At 52.7% G+C, this 12,849-nt stretch overlaps 1 protein-coding gene across 5 annotated transcripts in view, besides 1 other annotated feature; it reads right to left on the bottom strand.

Moving 5' to 3' along the window:
* Positions 1–12,849, bottom strand: part of DLGAP4 (DLG associated protein 4) — a 222,295-nt gene that overhangs the window by 89,948 nt on the left and 119,498 nt on the right. For all 5 annotated transcript variants that reach the window (NM_014902.6, NM_001365621.2, XM_011528689.3 and 2 more), the window contains exons 3-4: positions 5,970–7,040; positions 2,336–2,577 (exon numbers count right to left, since the gene is read on the bottom strand). In NM_014902.6, coding sequence (NP_055717.2) covers positions 2,336–2,577; positions 5,970–6,968 — 1,241 coding nt within the window. In that variant the 5' untranslated portion in view covers positions 6,969–7,040. The remainder of the gene's footprint in view (positions 1–2,335; positions 2,578–5,969; positions 7,041–12,849) is intronic.
* Positions 6,355–6,856: an enhancer, noted in NCBI's record as "H3K27ac-H3K4me1 hESC enhancer chr20:35060233-35060734 (GRCh37/hg19 assembly coordinates)". NCBI's record gives its function as "activates a minimal SCP1, AML or CMV promoter by ChIP-STARR-seq in naive H9 embryonic stem cells {active_cell/tissue: H9 hESC(naive)}" and the evidence as "EXISTENCE:reporter gene assay evidence [ECO:0000049][PMID:30033119]".

Genomic DNA, 12,849 nt, shown 5'->3' with positions numbered 1-12,849 from the left:
GCGTGGTGGCTCACACCTATAATCCCAGCACTTTGGGAGGCCAAAGCAGAAGGGTCACTTGAGCGGAGGAGTTCACCACCACTCTGGGCAACATAGTGAGGCCCCATCTTTACAATATATACATATATATGTATATATTATTCAGATTGGGAAACTGAGGCCCAGAGGGAAAAAGACTGGCGAAGGTCATCCAGTGGCAGAGGGAAAAATGGAAGTCACTGCCAGCCTGGACAGTGTGAGGGCTGATGAGCAAGGGGAGAGCAATATATACATATACATACATATATATTATATATATATATATATTTTTTTTTGAGACAGTCTCACTCTGTCACCCAGGCTGGAGTGCAGTGGCACGATCTCAGCTCCCTGCAACCTCTGCCTCCTGGGTTCAAGTGATTTTCATGCCTCAGCCTCCCTAGTAGCTGGGATTATAGGCATGCACCGCCACAATCTGCTAATTTATATACTTTTAGTAGAGATGCGGTTTCGCCATGTTGACCAGGCTGGTGTCAAACTCCTGACCTCAAATGATCTGCCTGCCTTGGCCTCCCAAAGTGCAGGGATTACAAGCGTGAGCCACTGCACCTGGTCACAAAAAATTATTTAAAAAAATTAGCTGGGCATGGTGGCCCATGCTGGTAGTCCCAGCTACTCGGGATGCTGAGGTGGGAGGACTGCTTGAGCACAGGAGGTCGACAAGTGAACCATGATTGCACTATTGCACTCCAACCTGGGCGACATAGCGAGACCCTGTTCCCCACATCCCCACAAAAAAGATGGAGAAACTAAGGTTCAGAAAAGGGCAGACCTGGGATTGTCTGGTGGTGTCCTTAATTCCAACCTGGAGGCCATTCTCTATCTTCTGCCCAGTCAACTAGACTCCTGGCTGCTCTGAGAACACTGCCCTCTTCCTGCCTAGGTACCAGTGTCACCTGACCTGTTCTCTTCCCTCTGTCTCAGTCTTCCCAGGCCACCTCCTCCATGAAGCCTTGGCTCCTGTCCCCCCTAGTTGAAGATCTAGGGAGAAGCTTGTTCCCTCTAACTCCTCCAAGCCTTACAGCAACACGATGGGGCTTGGCTGGTGAATTCCAGGCAGGCACTGGGACAGGAAAAGTCTGTCTATCACTCTTTGGCTTCTGGATTCACCTCCCTCCCCCATCTCGGAACTCCCCACAGGGATCAGTTACAGGAGCAAGGGTAGAGCGGGCTTTGGCCTTCCCTAGGCAGTGCTGTTACAGGTGATGCACTCACTCAGGGCAGGTTCTCCTAACCTGAAGACCAAGATCCCGTGGGACAGTTCCCCTCTGGGAGTGGAACTTACCTGGGGATGTGGCTCCTGTGGGAGGGGTTTACCTGGACCTATCACCCGAGTGTGGCTTTCATGATCGGGGTTTACCAAAGGATGCAGCTCACCTGTGGTCAGGGCTGAACTGTGGGTGGGGCTCAAGGGGTAGTTCTCCAATTGGCCGGGCTCTTCGAGGTCAATTCATCAGAGTGCAGGGCCAACCTGAGGATCTCATGGAGGGAGCTAACCTGATGGCGGGTTCACTTAGGGGGCCTGGATCATTATAGTAGTGAGTTCACCTGGATCTGAAGCTGAGGGACAGGATTCATCTGTGGGCTGGGATCTCCGGGGGAACAGCCGAATGGGAGGAAGGCGGGACTCCTGGGGTAGGGGCAGAACTAAGAGGGGTTCACCTAGGGGACGAGGCTTGCGGGTGAGCGGGACTTGTACTTACTGAAAGAGGTTTTCCCCTGGAGGGCTCACAAGTGGGCGGGACTCACCCGAAGTGGGGAGAAAAGCCTCTGGGAGGGGCTTCCACGCGGGCGGGGCTTTTCTTTTTCTTTCTTTCTTTTTTTTTTTTTTGAGACGGAGTCTCGCTCAGTCGCCCAGGCTGGAGTGCAGTGGCGCGATCTCGGCTCACTGCAATCTCCGCCTCCCGGGTTCAAGCGATTCTCCTGTCTCAGCCTCCCGAGTAGCTGGGATTACAGGCGCCTGCCGCCAACCCAGCTAATTTTTGTATTTTTAATAGAGACGGGGTTTCCCCATGTTGGCTATTCTGGTCTTGAAATCCTGACCTCAAGTGATCCACCCGCCTCGACCTCCCAAAGTGCTGGGATTACAGGCGTGAGCCACCGCGCCGGGCGGGCCTTATTTCAATGAAGGGGTTCTCTCAAGAAGCAGGACTCATGAGTGGGCGTGGCTCAAAGGGGGCGTGGCTCCCACGCAGGCGGGGCTTATTTTAATGCAGGGCTCCTCCCAGGGAGCAAGACTCGTAGTGGGCGGGGCTTGCCTCTGGGCGGGACCGTAAGGGTGGAGCTGCGCGCCTACCTGCGGGGGTTGCTCTGCTCTCCCAGCGACTGCTGCGTGGCCCTCAGATAGCTCTGGCGCCGCGCCGCGGTCTTGGGTGAGGGCTTGGGGCTGCCGCCGGACTCGTCGCTGTCCTCGTCGCCCATGGCCTTGATGTAGCTGCCGCTGCGCATGCGCCGGCACGGGATAGGGCCCTCGGCCGCGGCATCCGTCTCGCGTGGGGACAGCAGCGTGGTGCTCCACTCGCCGCCGCCGCCGGGCACCTGGGGATGGGGCACAGGACTCAGTGGGGCCACCGCAGAAAATGAGCAGATGGCGAGAACCCCCATCTCCGGGACCTGAAGCTCCCTCGTTCCCTGCAGAATTCGGGCTCACGTGCTGGGTTTCCCGCCTTTGAAACCTCGGGGCAGCAGAGCAGAGCCCTGGGCTGGGAGGAATACCGGGGTTCCAGAGCCTCTCCAGCCTGGGATTTCTCCATGGATCCCAGGCTGGGTTTGCCCCAGAAGCAATGCCCTAGGCCCTGTGGTCATGGTGGCCTCCACTGCAGCCATCTCTACTTAGCCCCACAGTCACTTCACGTGGACTCTCAGGGGATGCTTATGATCTCACTGCACAGATGAGAACACCAGGCCTGAGGGACGCAAGGCACTTGCAGAAAGAGGCCCCAGACCAGGATCCAGAGCCTGAGCCTAGAATGGGGGATCAGACGACCCTGGCACATCAGCATGAGGGGGGACGGGATCCCAGAGCCAATGGATATTCTTTGTCCCACAGGTGGGGAAACTGAGATACAGAGAGCAGAGGTGCTTCCCCGGGTCAGGTAGCCACATGGTGAGCTGGAAAAAGGGCTCAGTTTTCCCATCTGAACTTCAGGGACTCCGTCCGTGGAACGGGGCTGTGATAGGGCAGGTGAGGTCACAGCTGTGAGGGCAGCCCTGGTCCCCCAGTCTCCAGTGGTTATGGTGGCAGTAACCAACCGAGGGGACCTTCCCTGTCCTTCTGAGCCGGGCTCTGCTGGCTGCCCCAGGGCAGTGCACACAGGCTACATTCCTCGCCATTTCATTCACACTGTTACGGAAACACAATGGATGGTCACTGTGTGATGAAAAATGCACACATCTCAGCACTCACACACAGCCTGTGCACAGAGTGAACATGCCTCATCCTGTACACATATCTCAAAATGTACAGAACAAGCATATGCCCCATGCCCCTCAGTGAGTACCCCCAGTGTACCACACACCTCACCAAGGACACACACCAGCAGCCACTTTGTCACAGCAACCCCCCCCCACAAGTATGCAGCATATACACAGAGCACACCCACCTTCCCACTACCCTCCCTCTGGACATTCGCGCCAGCAACTACTGCACTGTGGACACACATCTCAACGTGTATCTACCTTGCACTGTCCCCGCCTCCACATGCACACAGCATACCCCTCACCAGACTGCACATGTCACCACAGATGTCCAAGCCCACTCATTCAGTGTACACAGCATTCCCACTCTCTATAGCATACACATGCACACTGCCCAAGGGCCATGTCTACACAGGTACTGCACCATTCTCCATGCCCTCTGTGTCAGAGGCCCACTTTCCACAAAGGGAAGGTAATGTCCAGGACTCCCACTCCAGCCCCACCCAGCCTTCCCATAAACCCTCAGCAGACTGCCCAGCCTAGGGCCAGTGCATTCTGCCTACAAGCCACTTGCTAGTCCAGCCCCACTATCCCCACTGTCCCTTGGGAACATGGCCTTGTACATCACTGCTCAGAAACTGTTGCTAAGCCACCCACTCACCTCCTGTCACCCAAGCAGGCAGCACAGACTCCAGGGCCCACAGGGCTACCCTCTCATGGTGTTTCTGCGGCATTGTTACATGATCAGACCCAACTATACCATTTTGAGAGGAAGCCCGGTCACACATCACCCTCCCTAATGCTTCTAAACCAAGGAAGCAGTTTCAGAACCACAAGAGCCCTAAATATATCACATACTGCCTGGATTTCAGTTTCCTCCTATTGAAAAAGAAAATAGTCTCACTGTTTCTGGAATTTCATATAAGATGATAAGAAGTCAGCGCTTTGTTAGACCCCGAAGATCATCTCGTTCAAAATGCATCTCATGGCTGGGTGCAGTGGCTCACGTCAGTAATCCCAGCACTTTGGGAGGCTGAGGCAGGTGCTCACCTGAGGTCAGGAATTCGAGACCAGCCTGGCCAACATGATAAAACCCCATCTCTACTAAAAACACAAAAATTGGTCAGTCTTGGTGGCTCGCACCTATAATCCCAGCTACTCAGGAGGCTGAGGCAGGAGAATCACTGGAACCCAGGAGGCGGAGGTTGCAGTGAGCCAGGATCCTGCCATTGCACTCCAGTCTGGGTGACAAGTGTGAAACTCCATCTCAAAAAAAAAAAAAATTGCTGGGTGCAGTGGCTCAGTCCTGTAATCCCTGCACTTTGGGAGGCCGAGGCAGACTGGAGGTTAGGAGTTCAAAACCAGTCTGGCCAACATGATAAAATCCCGTCTCTATTAAACATACAAAAAATTAACCAGGCATGGTGGCGGGTGCCTGTAATCCCAGCTACTCAGGAGGCTGAGGCAGGAGAATTGCTTGAACCCGGGGGGCGGAGGTTGCAGTGAGCCGAGATCGCGCCACTGCATTCCAGCCTGGGCAACAAGAGTGAAACTGAAACTCTGTCTAAAAAAAAAAAAAAGAAATACTCATCAGAGTTCCCAAGGGCTGGCCAGGCCCGCGCTTGCATTCCCCCTGAGATGAGGCACTCACTACCTGCAGAAGCAGCTCCTTCCACCTGAAATCTGCTTCCTGTAATTTCCACCCACAGCCTGGCTTTGCCCTGGGGAGCCATTCAGTTCATAGCCCCCTGCCCTACCCTTGAGAGCCACTTGGAAATGTGCAGCCACGGTGATGTCTCAGCCTTCTGCCACTTTCAAGCCATGTGGCCTTGGTGCACAGCAAGTGCCTGAATCAGTGTTGGCATTTGAAAGAAGAAAGCTATTCCCCCAAGCTGGGTTAGGACCCCCTGGGCCCCTGCAACTCTTGGTGCTGATCCCCATCACACTCTGCCGACACTGACATGACCGTCCATGTCTTTCCCAGTATTCTAATCTTTGGGACTGTGTCTTCTTTATTTCTGACTCTGTTCATTTAATTGTCCATCTGTCCATCTACCCCTCCCTCGCTCACATTTCCTGAGCACTTCCTGCATGCCAGATCCTGTCCTGGGCCTTGGGGACACATGGCTGCATCAGATGTGATCCCTGTCCTCAAAAAACTGTCAGTCTGATGGGGGTGGCAGGGAGAGGCTGGCAATTAGAATGTCATGCAATTGGTTCTGTGAGGGGGTTGGGATGGCACAGCTTCCAGATTTGTCTTCTAAAGGGCAGGAACATATTTTAGTCCCTGCTCAGGGCTGGGCTCAGAAAGGCCCTAATTAATCTCTGTTGAGAGCATGACCAGTGGAAGGACTCCCTGATTAGCAGGTACCACTAGGCCACCCATTTTATAGCTGAGCCACAGAGGCCCAGAATGAAGTGACTTTCCAAGTGAATCTGTGGTACGTCTAGGCCTCAAAACTGGTGCCGTCCCCAGAGCCCTCATCCCACCCCTGACCCTGCCAGAGACCCACCTGCAGGTAATGGTAGGCTAGACCCTGGTGGCAGGATTTGGACTTGAGCAGGCTCTTATCCAAGGTGGCTGAGGTCTTCTGGCAGACCTCGTGGGCGTGGCTGAGGGTCAGAGTGGACCAGGAGCCCCGTTTGACGTAGTTGGTGTCAGTGCCCACCCCAAGGCTGGGGCAGGTGGCTGGGGGTGCGGGCGGGGGTGGTGGGGCAGTCAGCTCAGTAGTGTTGTTCTTGGTGGTTTTGAGCATGTGCCCACTGATGGTGTTGTAGGCGTGCATGAAGTAGCGTGGCTGGCTGCGTTCTGCCTGGCGGCCTAGTGTCATCAGCCCAGAGGCTGGGCCACTGCTGCGGAAGGCGCCGGCCTCGCCGTCCAAGTTGTCATCGGAGCTCCACCAGCCTGAGATGTTGGAGCGGCTGCGCCGTTTGGGCTCCCCAGCCTTGGCCCGCTCCTTGCTTTTGGCCCTCCGGCCCTTGCCGTCCTCCATGCCACCCTTCTTGCTGCCATTGCCACCGACCTTGCCCGCTGTGCCCTCCAGTGAGGGTGCCTTGGTGAAGAAAAGCCGCTGGACTGAGTGGACCAGGTGGCGGATGCGGCCAGGGCTCTCACCACGGGCCTTGGCCTCGCCACGGGGAAATTGGAGGGTGCTGAAGCCATCACGGTGGATGGGCAGCTGCTTCTCAAACTGGTCCAGGAGGTTGGCGGGCAGCCGGTTGATCTTGGTGGCTTGGGCATGGCTGGGGAAGGGGCTCTCCTCTGGCACCTCGAAGTGGGAGTTGTAGTGGATGCGGGGAAAGGTGCTGCTGGGCGGGGGCAGCTGGTTGTTGAGGGGAAAGAGGCCATCTCCTGGCAGGGTGTTCTGCCCGGGGAAGCGGGCCTCGCGGGCGAAGGCCTCCGTGGGCGACAGCAGGTAGGGGTTGCGGTCGGTCCCTGCAAACAGGGGCTCGTGGGGTGGGTCTAGGCTGTCGGAGAGGTGGCGGGGGCGGCTGTCACCGAGGCCTTTCATGATCCCGGGCCGAGGGCAGGGGCCTTCACCCTAGCAGGGCGCCCGGGTCACCTCTCCCGGGCGGCAGCTATCCTAGGGAGAGAAGACAGAAAGCGGTCAGCTGGTCAGCTGGATTGTCGGGGAGGGGTGCCGGGAAGGTCAGATCCAGATCGCAAGGCTGGGAGGATCTCTGAAGCCAGTCCTCAATGTTGTGGGCCTGAGGACAGGAGTACACACCGAGGCCCACGTACTCTGTGTATAAATAAAAGTTACAACTCAAGCTACCGACTATCAGACAAGCACAACATCTTCCATTCTTCTAGCTTGAGGACTGTATCTTTAAAACAACCTGGAAAACCAGGCTCAGACTCAGAGTTCTGGGTCTCCTCTGAATTCCATGATGAAATATGGGTGGGGGGCTGCCCATCCTCCACTCTCTTTCCGTTTCTGACTCTGTCCCTCACCCCGAGGGTCCACATAGATGCAAATACCCCAGCCCACATCTCCTAGCTCTGTCCACAGGCCCCCAAACAGTCATCCCGGAACCCCAGGATGGTCCCTGTGGCAGGGTCCACCTCCCACGGGAGGACCCTGTGCTGGCCCTGGAGGCAGGCGTGGGTCATTTGGGCAGGGAATCCCAGGGTGCCCAGTATCCAGGGTGGTCTATGGGGGGATGCAGCCTGCTGGTGGGCATGTCCCCAGGGCTCCTGAACTCTCCTTGCCTTATGGGGAAAAACATGGACTTTTAGAGGGCCAGAGAGGTCTTTTTTTTTTTTTTTTTTTAGAGACAGAGTCTCACTCTGTTACCCAGGCTGGAGTGCAGTGGTGTGATCCTGGCTCACTGCAACCTCCGTCTCCCGGGTTCAAGTGATTCTCCTGCCTCAGCCTGCCGAGTAGCTGGGATTACAGATGCATGCCACCACACATGGCTAATTTTTGTATTTTTAGTAGAGACAGGGTTTCACTATGTTGGCCAGACTGGTCTCGAACTCCTGACCTCAAGTGATCCGCCCACCTTGGCCTTCCAAAGTACTGAGATTACAGGCATGAGCCACCATGCCTGGCCTTTTTTTTTTTTTTTTTTTTTTTTGCAACAAGGTCACAGACAGCTCACTGCAGCCTTGGCCTCCTGGGATCAAGGGATCCTCCAGCCTTGGTCTCCCAAAGTGCTGGGATTATAGCTGTGGGCCACTGTGCCTGCCTAGAGAGGCCTTCCAAAAAGAAGGACCTAGGGCAAGGGCCCATCTCATCCAGGTCTGAGGGCAGTACCGTCCAATTGTTTAACAGAGGAATTCCTATGTCAAATGGAAGCCCTCTGCAAAAACCTGCTCTGCCCTTCACCGAATGTCTACCAAGTATGACTGCTGGGCAGGTGCTGAGGGCTTCTGACACCAAAGAGGCCAACAAGCCCATAGGCCCATCATTTCCAATTGAGATGAAGCAAAGATGGCCTGGAATAGAGCTCTCAGAGTCAATAACAGGGGCACGTCCTCAGGACAAGCAAGGCAAGGGCTCACAAGAGGGTGGCATTTAGGTGCAGTTGCTGTGCCTCAGTTTCCCCTGTTGTAAAATGGGAACATCCTGGAAATACTAGTCCAAAACTTAGGTAAGTCCCTTCCTTTTCTGAGCCTGGGCCTCAATCTTCCTGTCTGCCATGGAGCAGAGAGGTTGGCGAGGTTTCTAAGCCCACCGGCCCTGTACGTGGGAGTACCAAGACTTGGTTTGGCCTGAGCCTGGTGTGCTGAGGATTGGCAAAGAGTCAGTGTGGCTGGAGCAGAGCAAGTGAGGACAAGGTTTGTGGAGGGAGGGCTCTCAGAGGGGCTGGGTCAGGTCACAGCACAAAGGCTCTGGCTGACATCAAGTATGGAGGGCAGAATAATGGCCCCCAAATATGCCCATGACCTTGTCAAAAGGAACTTGGCAGGTGTGGTTATTTTGCAAATGTGATTAAGGATCTTGAGATGGGGAGACTATCATGAATTATCTGGATAGGCTCAAGCTAATCACACGGTCCCTATAAGAAAGAGGCATGGGCTGGGCATGGTGGCTCACACCTGTAATCCCAGCACTTTTGGAGGCCAAGGCAGGTGGATCACTTGAGATCAGGAGTTTGAGACCACCCAGGCCAACACAGTGAAACCCCATCTCTACCAAAAAACAAAAAATTAGCTGGGTGTGGGGTGTGTGCTTGTAATGCCAGCTACTTGGGAGGCTGAGGCTTCTGGAGAATCACTTGAGCCCAGGAGGCAGAGTTCGCAGTGAGCTGAGATCGTGCCACTGCACTCCAGCCTGGGTGACAGAATAAGACTCTGTCTCAAAAAAAAAAAAAAAAAAAAAAAAGAAAAAAAGAAACAGGAATGGGCCAGCCATGGTTTCTCATATCTGTAATCCCAGCACTTTTGGAGGCCAAGGCAGGGCAGATCACTTGAGGTCAGGAGTTTGAGACCAGCCTGGCCAACGTAGTGAAACCCCATCTCTACTAAAAATACAAAAATTACTGGGTGTGATGGCGTGCGCCTATAATCCCAGCTACTTGGGAGGCTGAGGCAGGAAAATCACTTGAACCTGGAGGTGGAGGTTGCAGTGAGCCGAGATTGTGCCACTGCACTCCAGCCTGGGCAACAGAGTGAGACTCTGTCTCAAAAATAAATACATAAATAAATAAATAAACAGGCAGGAAGGTCAGAGTCAGAGGAGATGTGCCAACAGAAGCAGAGATCAGAGTGATGTGGAGACATGAGCCAAGGAATGCAGGCAGCCTTCAGAAGCTGGCAGAGATGGCTGGGCATGGTGGCTTACGCCTGTAATCCCAGCACTTTGGGAGGCCAAGGCAGGAGGATTGCTTGAGGCCAGGAGTTTGAGACCAGCCTGGGCAACAAAGTGGGACTGTGTCTCAAAAAAAGAGATGAATTCTCCCCTAGAGCCTCCAGAGAGAATGTAGCTCTGCAATCCGTTTTAGACTCTGACCTCTAGAACATCCTATGAGACAAAGTGCGCCAGTCTGGGAACCAGACAGCACAAAGCCACACGGAACCAGGACTGGAACCCAGGTCTTCTTGACTCTTAACGCAGGCCCCACCCAGCCCACTGGCCCTGCTGAACTGGAGGATGTGCAAAGAAAGGGGACAGTGTGGGGGCTGGATCCACCAGCTGAGGGGCAGAGGGTGGGGAGGATGGGACGGTACCAGGTGGCCTCAGCAAAGAGTGGATGTCCATCTGGCCCAGCATGGCCCAGCTTCCACCAGCTTCTCCAACCTTGTTCCCATCTCTTACTGTCCACCTGCCAGCCAAGCTCACACCCTTCAGGATTTCTTCATAGCTCTCACTGCTCTGGGAAACTCTCATGTGTTTACTTGTTTGCTAGTTTCTTGTCCATCTTCCCCTAGATCTGAGCTGTCCAATATGGTAGCCACTGGGCCACAGAGCACTTGACATGCAGCTAGTGCGACTGGGAAACTGAATTTTTAATTTTTTAAAAAGTTTAATTAATTTAATTTAAATAGCACATGTGGCAAGTGGCTACCAGGTTGACAGTATAGTCCTAGAGGTTCAACCCTCCTCTTGCAAGGTGCCTCCCTCCCTCACCCCTGCTAAAGCTGGGTTCAGCACACTTTCTTATTCTAACACCTTTTCCACCTTTTTGAGTTGGACGTTTAGTTCATTTGTTTTCTGATCTCCTTATACTCTAATAAATGTGTCACAGAAAAGCTATATATTTTCCCCTGAGTATCTATTAGCTGCATATTATGGATTGTATTTTTCCAGTTTTTTTTCCCTTTTTTATTTTTATTTTTTGACACGGAGTCTTGCTCTTGTCGCCCAGGCTGGAGTGCAATGGGGTGGTCTCAGCTCACTGCAACCTCTGCCTCCTGGGTTCCAGCGATTCTCGTGCCTCAGCCTAACTAGTAGCCGGGATTATAGGCACGCACCACCACGCCCAGCTAATTTTTGTATTTTTAGTAGAGACAGGTTTTCACCATGTTGACCAGGCTGGTCTCGAACTCCTGACCTTCTGTGATCCACCCACCTTGGCCTCCCAAAATGCTGGGATTACAGGCGTGAGCCACTGCACCCAGCCTTTTTTCCTTTTTTAAAAAAAAACTGAGGAGAAATTAATGTAACATAAAATTAGTCATTTTAAAGTGTACAATTTAGTGACATTTAGTAACAATGCTGTGTAATCACTACCTCCATCTAGTTCCGAAATATTTCCTTCCTTCCTTCCTTCCTTCCTTCCCTCCCTCCCTCCCACTTCTTTCTTTTGATGGACTCTCACTCTGTCACCCAGGTTGGAGTGCAATGGTGTGGTCTCAGCTCACTGCAACCTCTGCCTCCCAGGTTCAACCGATTCTCCTGCCTCAACCTCCTGAGTAGCTGGGACTACAGGTGCATGCCACCACATCCGGCTAATTTTTGTAATTTTTAGTACAGATGGGGTTTCACTATGTTGGCCAGGCTGGTCTCTAACTCCTGACTTCATGATCCGCCTGCCTCGGCCTCCCAAAGTGTTGAGATTACAGGCATGAGCCATTGCACCCAGCCTCTTTCTTTCTTTTGAGACAGGGTCTCGCTCTGTTGCCGAGGCTGGAGTGCAGTGGTGTGATCATAGCTCACCGCAGCTTTGATCTCCTGGGCTCAAATGTCCTCCCACATCAGCTTCTTGAGTAGCTGAGACTATAGGTACATGCCCAGCTAATTAGAAAAAACATTTTTTTTTTTTTTGGTACAGACAGGAGTCTCATTATGTTGCCCAAGCTGGTCTGGAACTCCTGGGCTCAAGCAATACTCCTGCCTCAGCCTCCCACAATGTTGGGATTACAGGCATGAGCCACCACACCCAGCCCTGAAACATTTTCATAACCCCAAAAGCAAACCGCATCCCCAATAAGCAGTCATTCCCTATTTTCCCCTTTTCCCAGCTTCTGACAACCACGTCCATAGATACTTTCCGTGTCTATGAATTTTCCTATTTCCCGTAGGTATTACTTTTATTGTAGCAAAATACATGTAACATAAAATTTGCCATTTTAACCATCTTTAAGCGTGCAATTCAGTGGGGCATTATGGACACTCACAATGTTGTGTAACCACCACTATGATCTATTTCCAAAACCATTCCATCACCCCAAACAGAAACTCTGTACCCATTAAGCAAAAACTTCTTTTCTCCTCCTTCTCCTAGCCCCTGGTAATTTCTTTTATTCATTTTTTTTTTTGAGACAGAGTCTGAGAGTCTCGCTCTGTCACCCAGGCTGGAGTGCGGTGGTGCGATCTCGGCTCACTGCAACCTCTGCCTCCTGGGTTCAAGCGATTCTCGTGCCTCAGCCTCCCAAGTAGCTGGGATTAGAGGCGCATGCCACCATGCCCAGCTAATTTTTGTATTTTTAGTGGAGAACGGGTTTCACCATGTTGGCCAGGCTGGTCTTGAACTCTTGACTTCAAGTGAAATGCCTGCCTTGGCCTCCCAAAGTGCTGGGATTACAGATGTGAGCCCTATGCCTGGCGGCCCCTAGTAATATTTAACCTACTTTCTGTCTCTCTGAATTTGCCTATGCTAAATATTCTCAATATGTGGAATCATATAACATTTGTTATTTTGTGTCTGACCTATTTCACGTAGCATAATGTTTGTTTTCTAAGTTCACCCATGTTGTAGCATGGGTCAGAACTTCATTCCGTTTTATGGCTGCATCATATTCCATCCTGCATATATAGTACATTTTGTTTAATCCATTCATCTTTGGATGGACACCTGGGTTGTTTCTACCTTTTGGCTATTGTGAATAATATTGCTACAAACAATGGTGTCCAAGTATCTGTTTGAGTCTCTGTTTTCAATTGTTTTGGGTTAATATCCAAGTGGAATTGCTGGATCATACAGTAATTCTATGTTTAACTTTTG

This window comes from Homo sapiens, chromosome 20, assembly GCF_000001405.40.
Source record: "Homo sapiens chromosome 20, GRCh38.p14 Primary Assembly".
NCBI classification, from domain to species: Eukaryota; Metazoa; Chordata; class Mammalia; order Primates; family Hominidae; genus Homo; species Homo sapiens.
The sequence above is the reverse complement of the archived record's forward strand: the minus strand, read 5'-3'. Positions and strand labels throughout refer to the sequence as shown.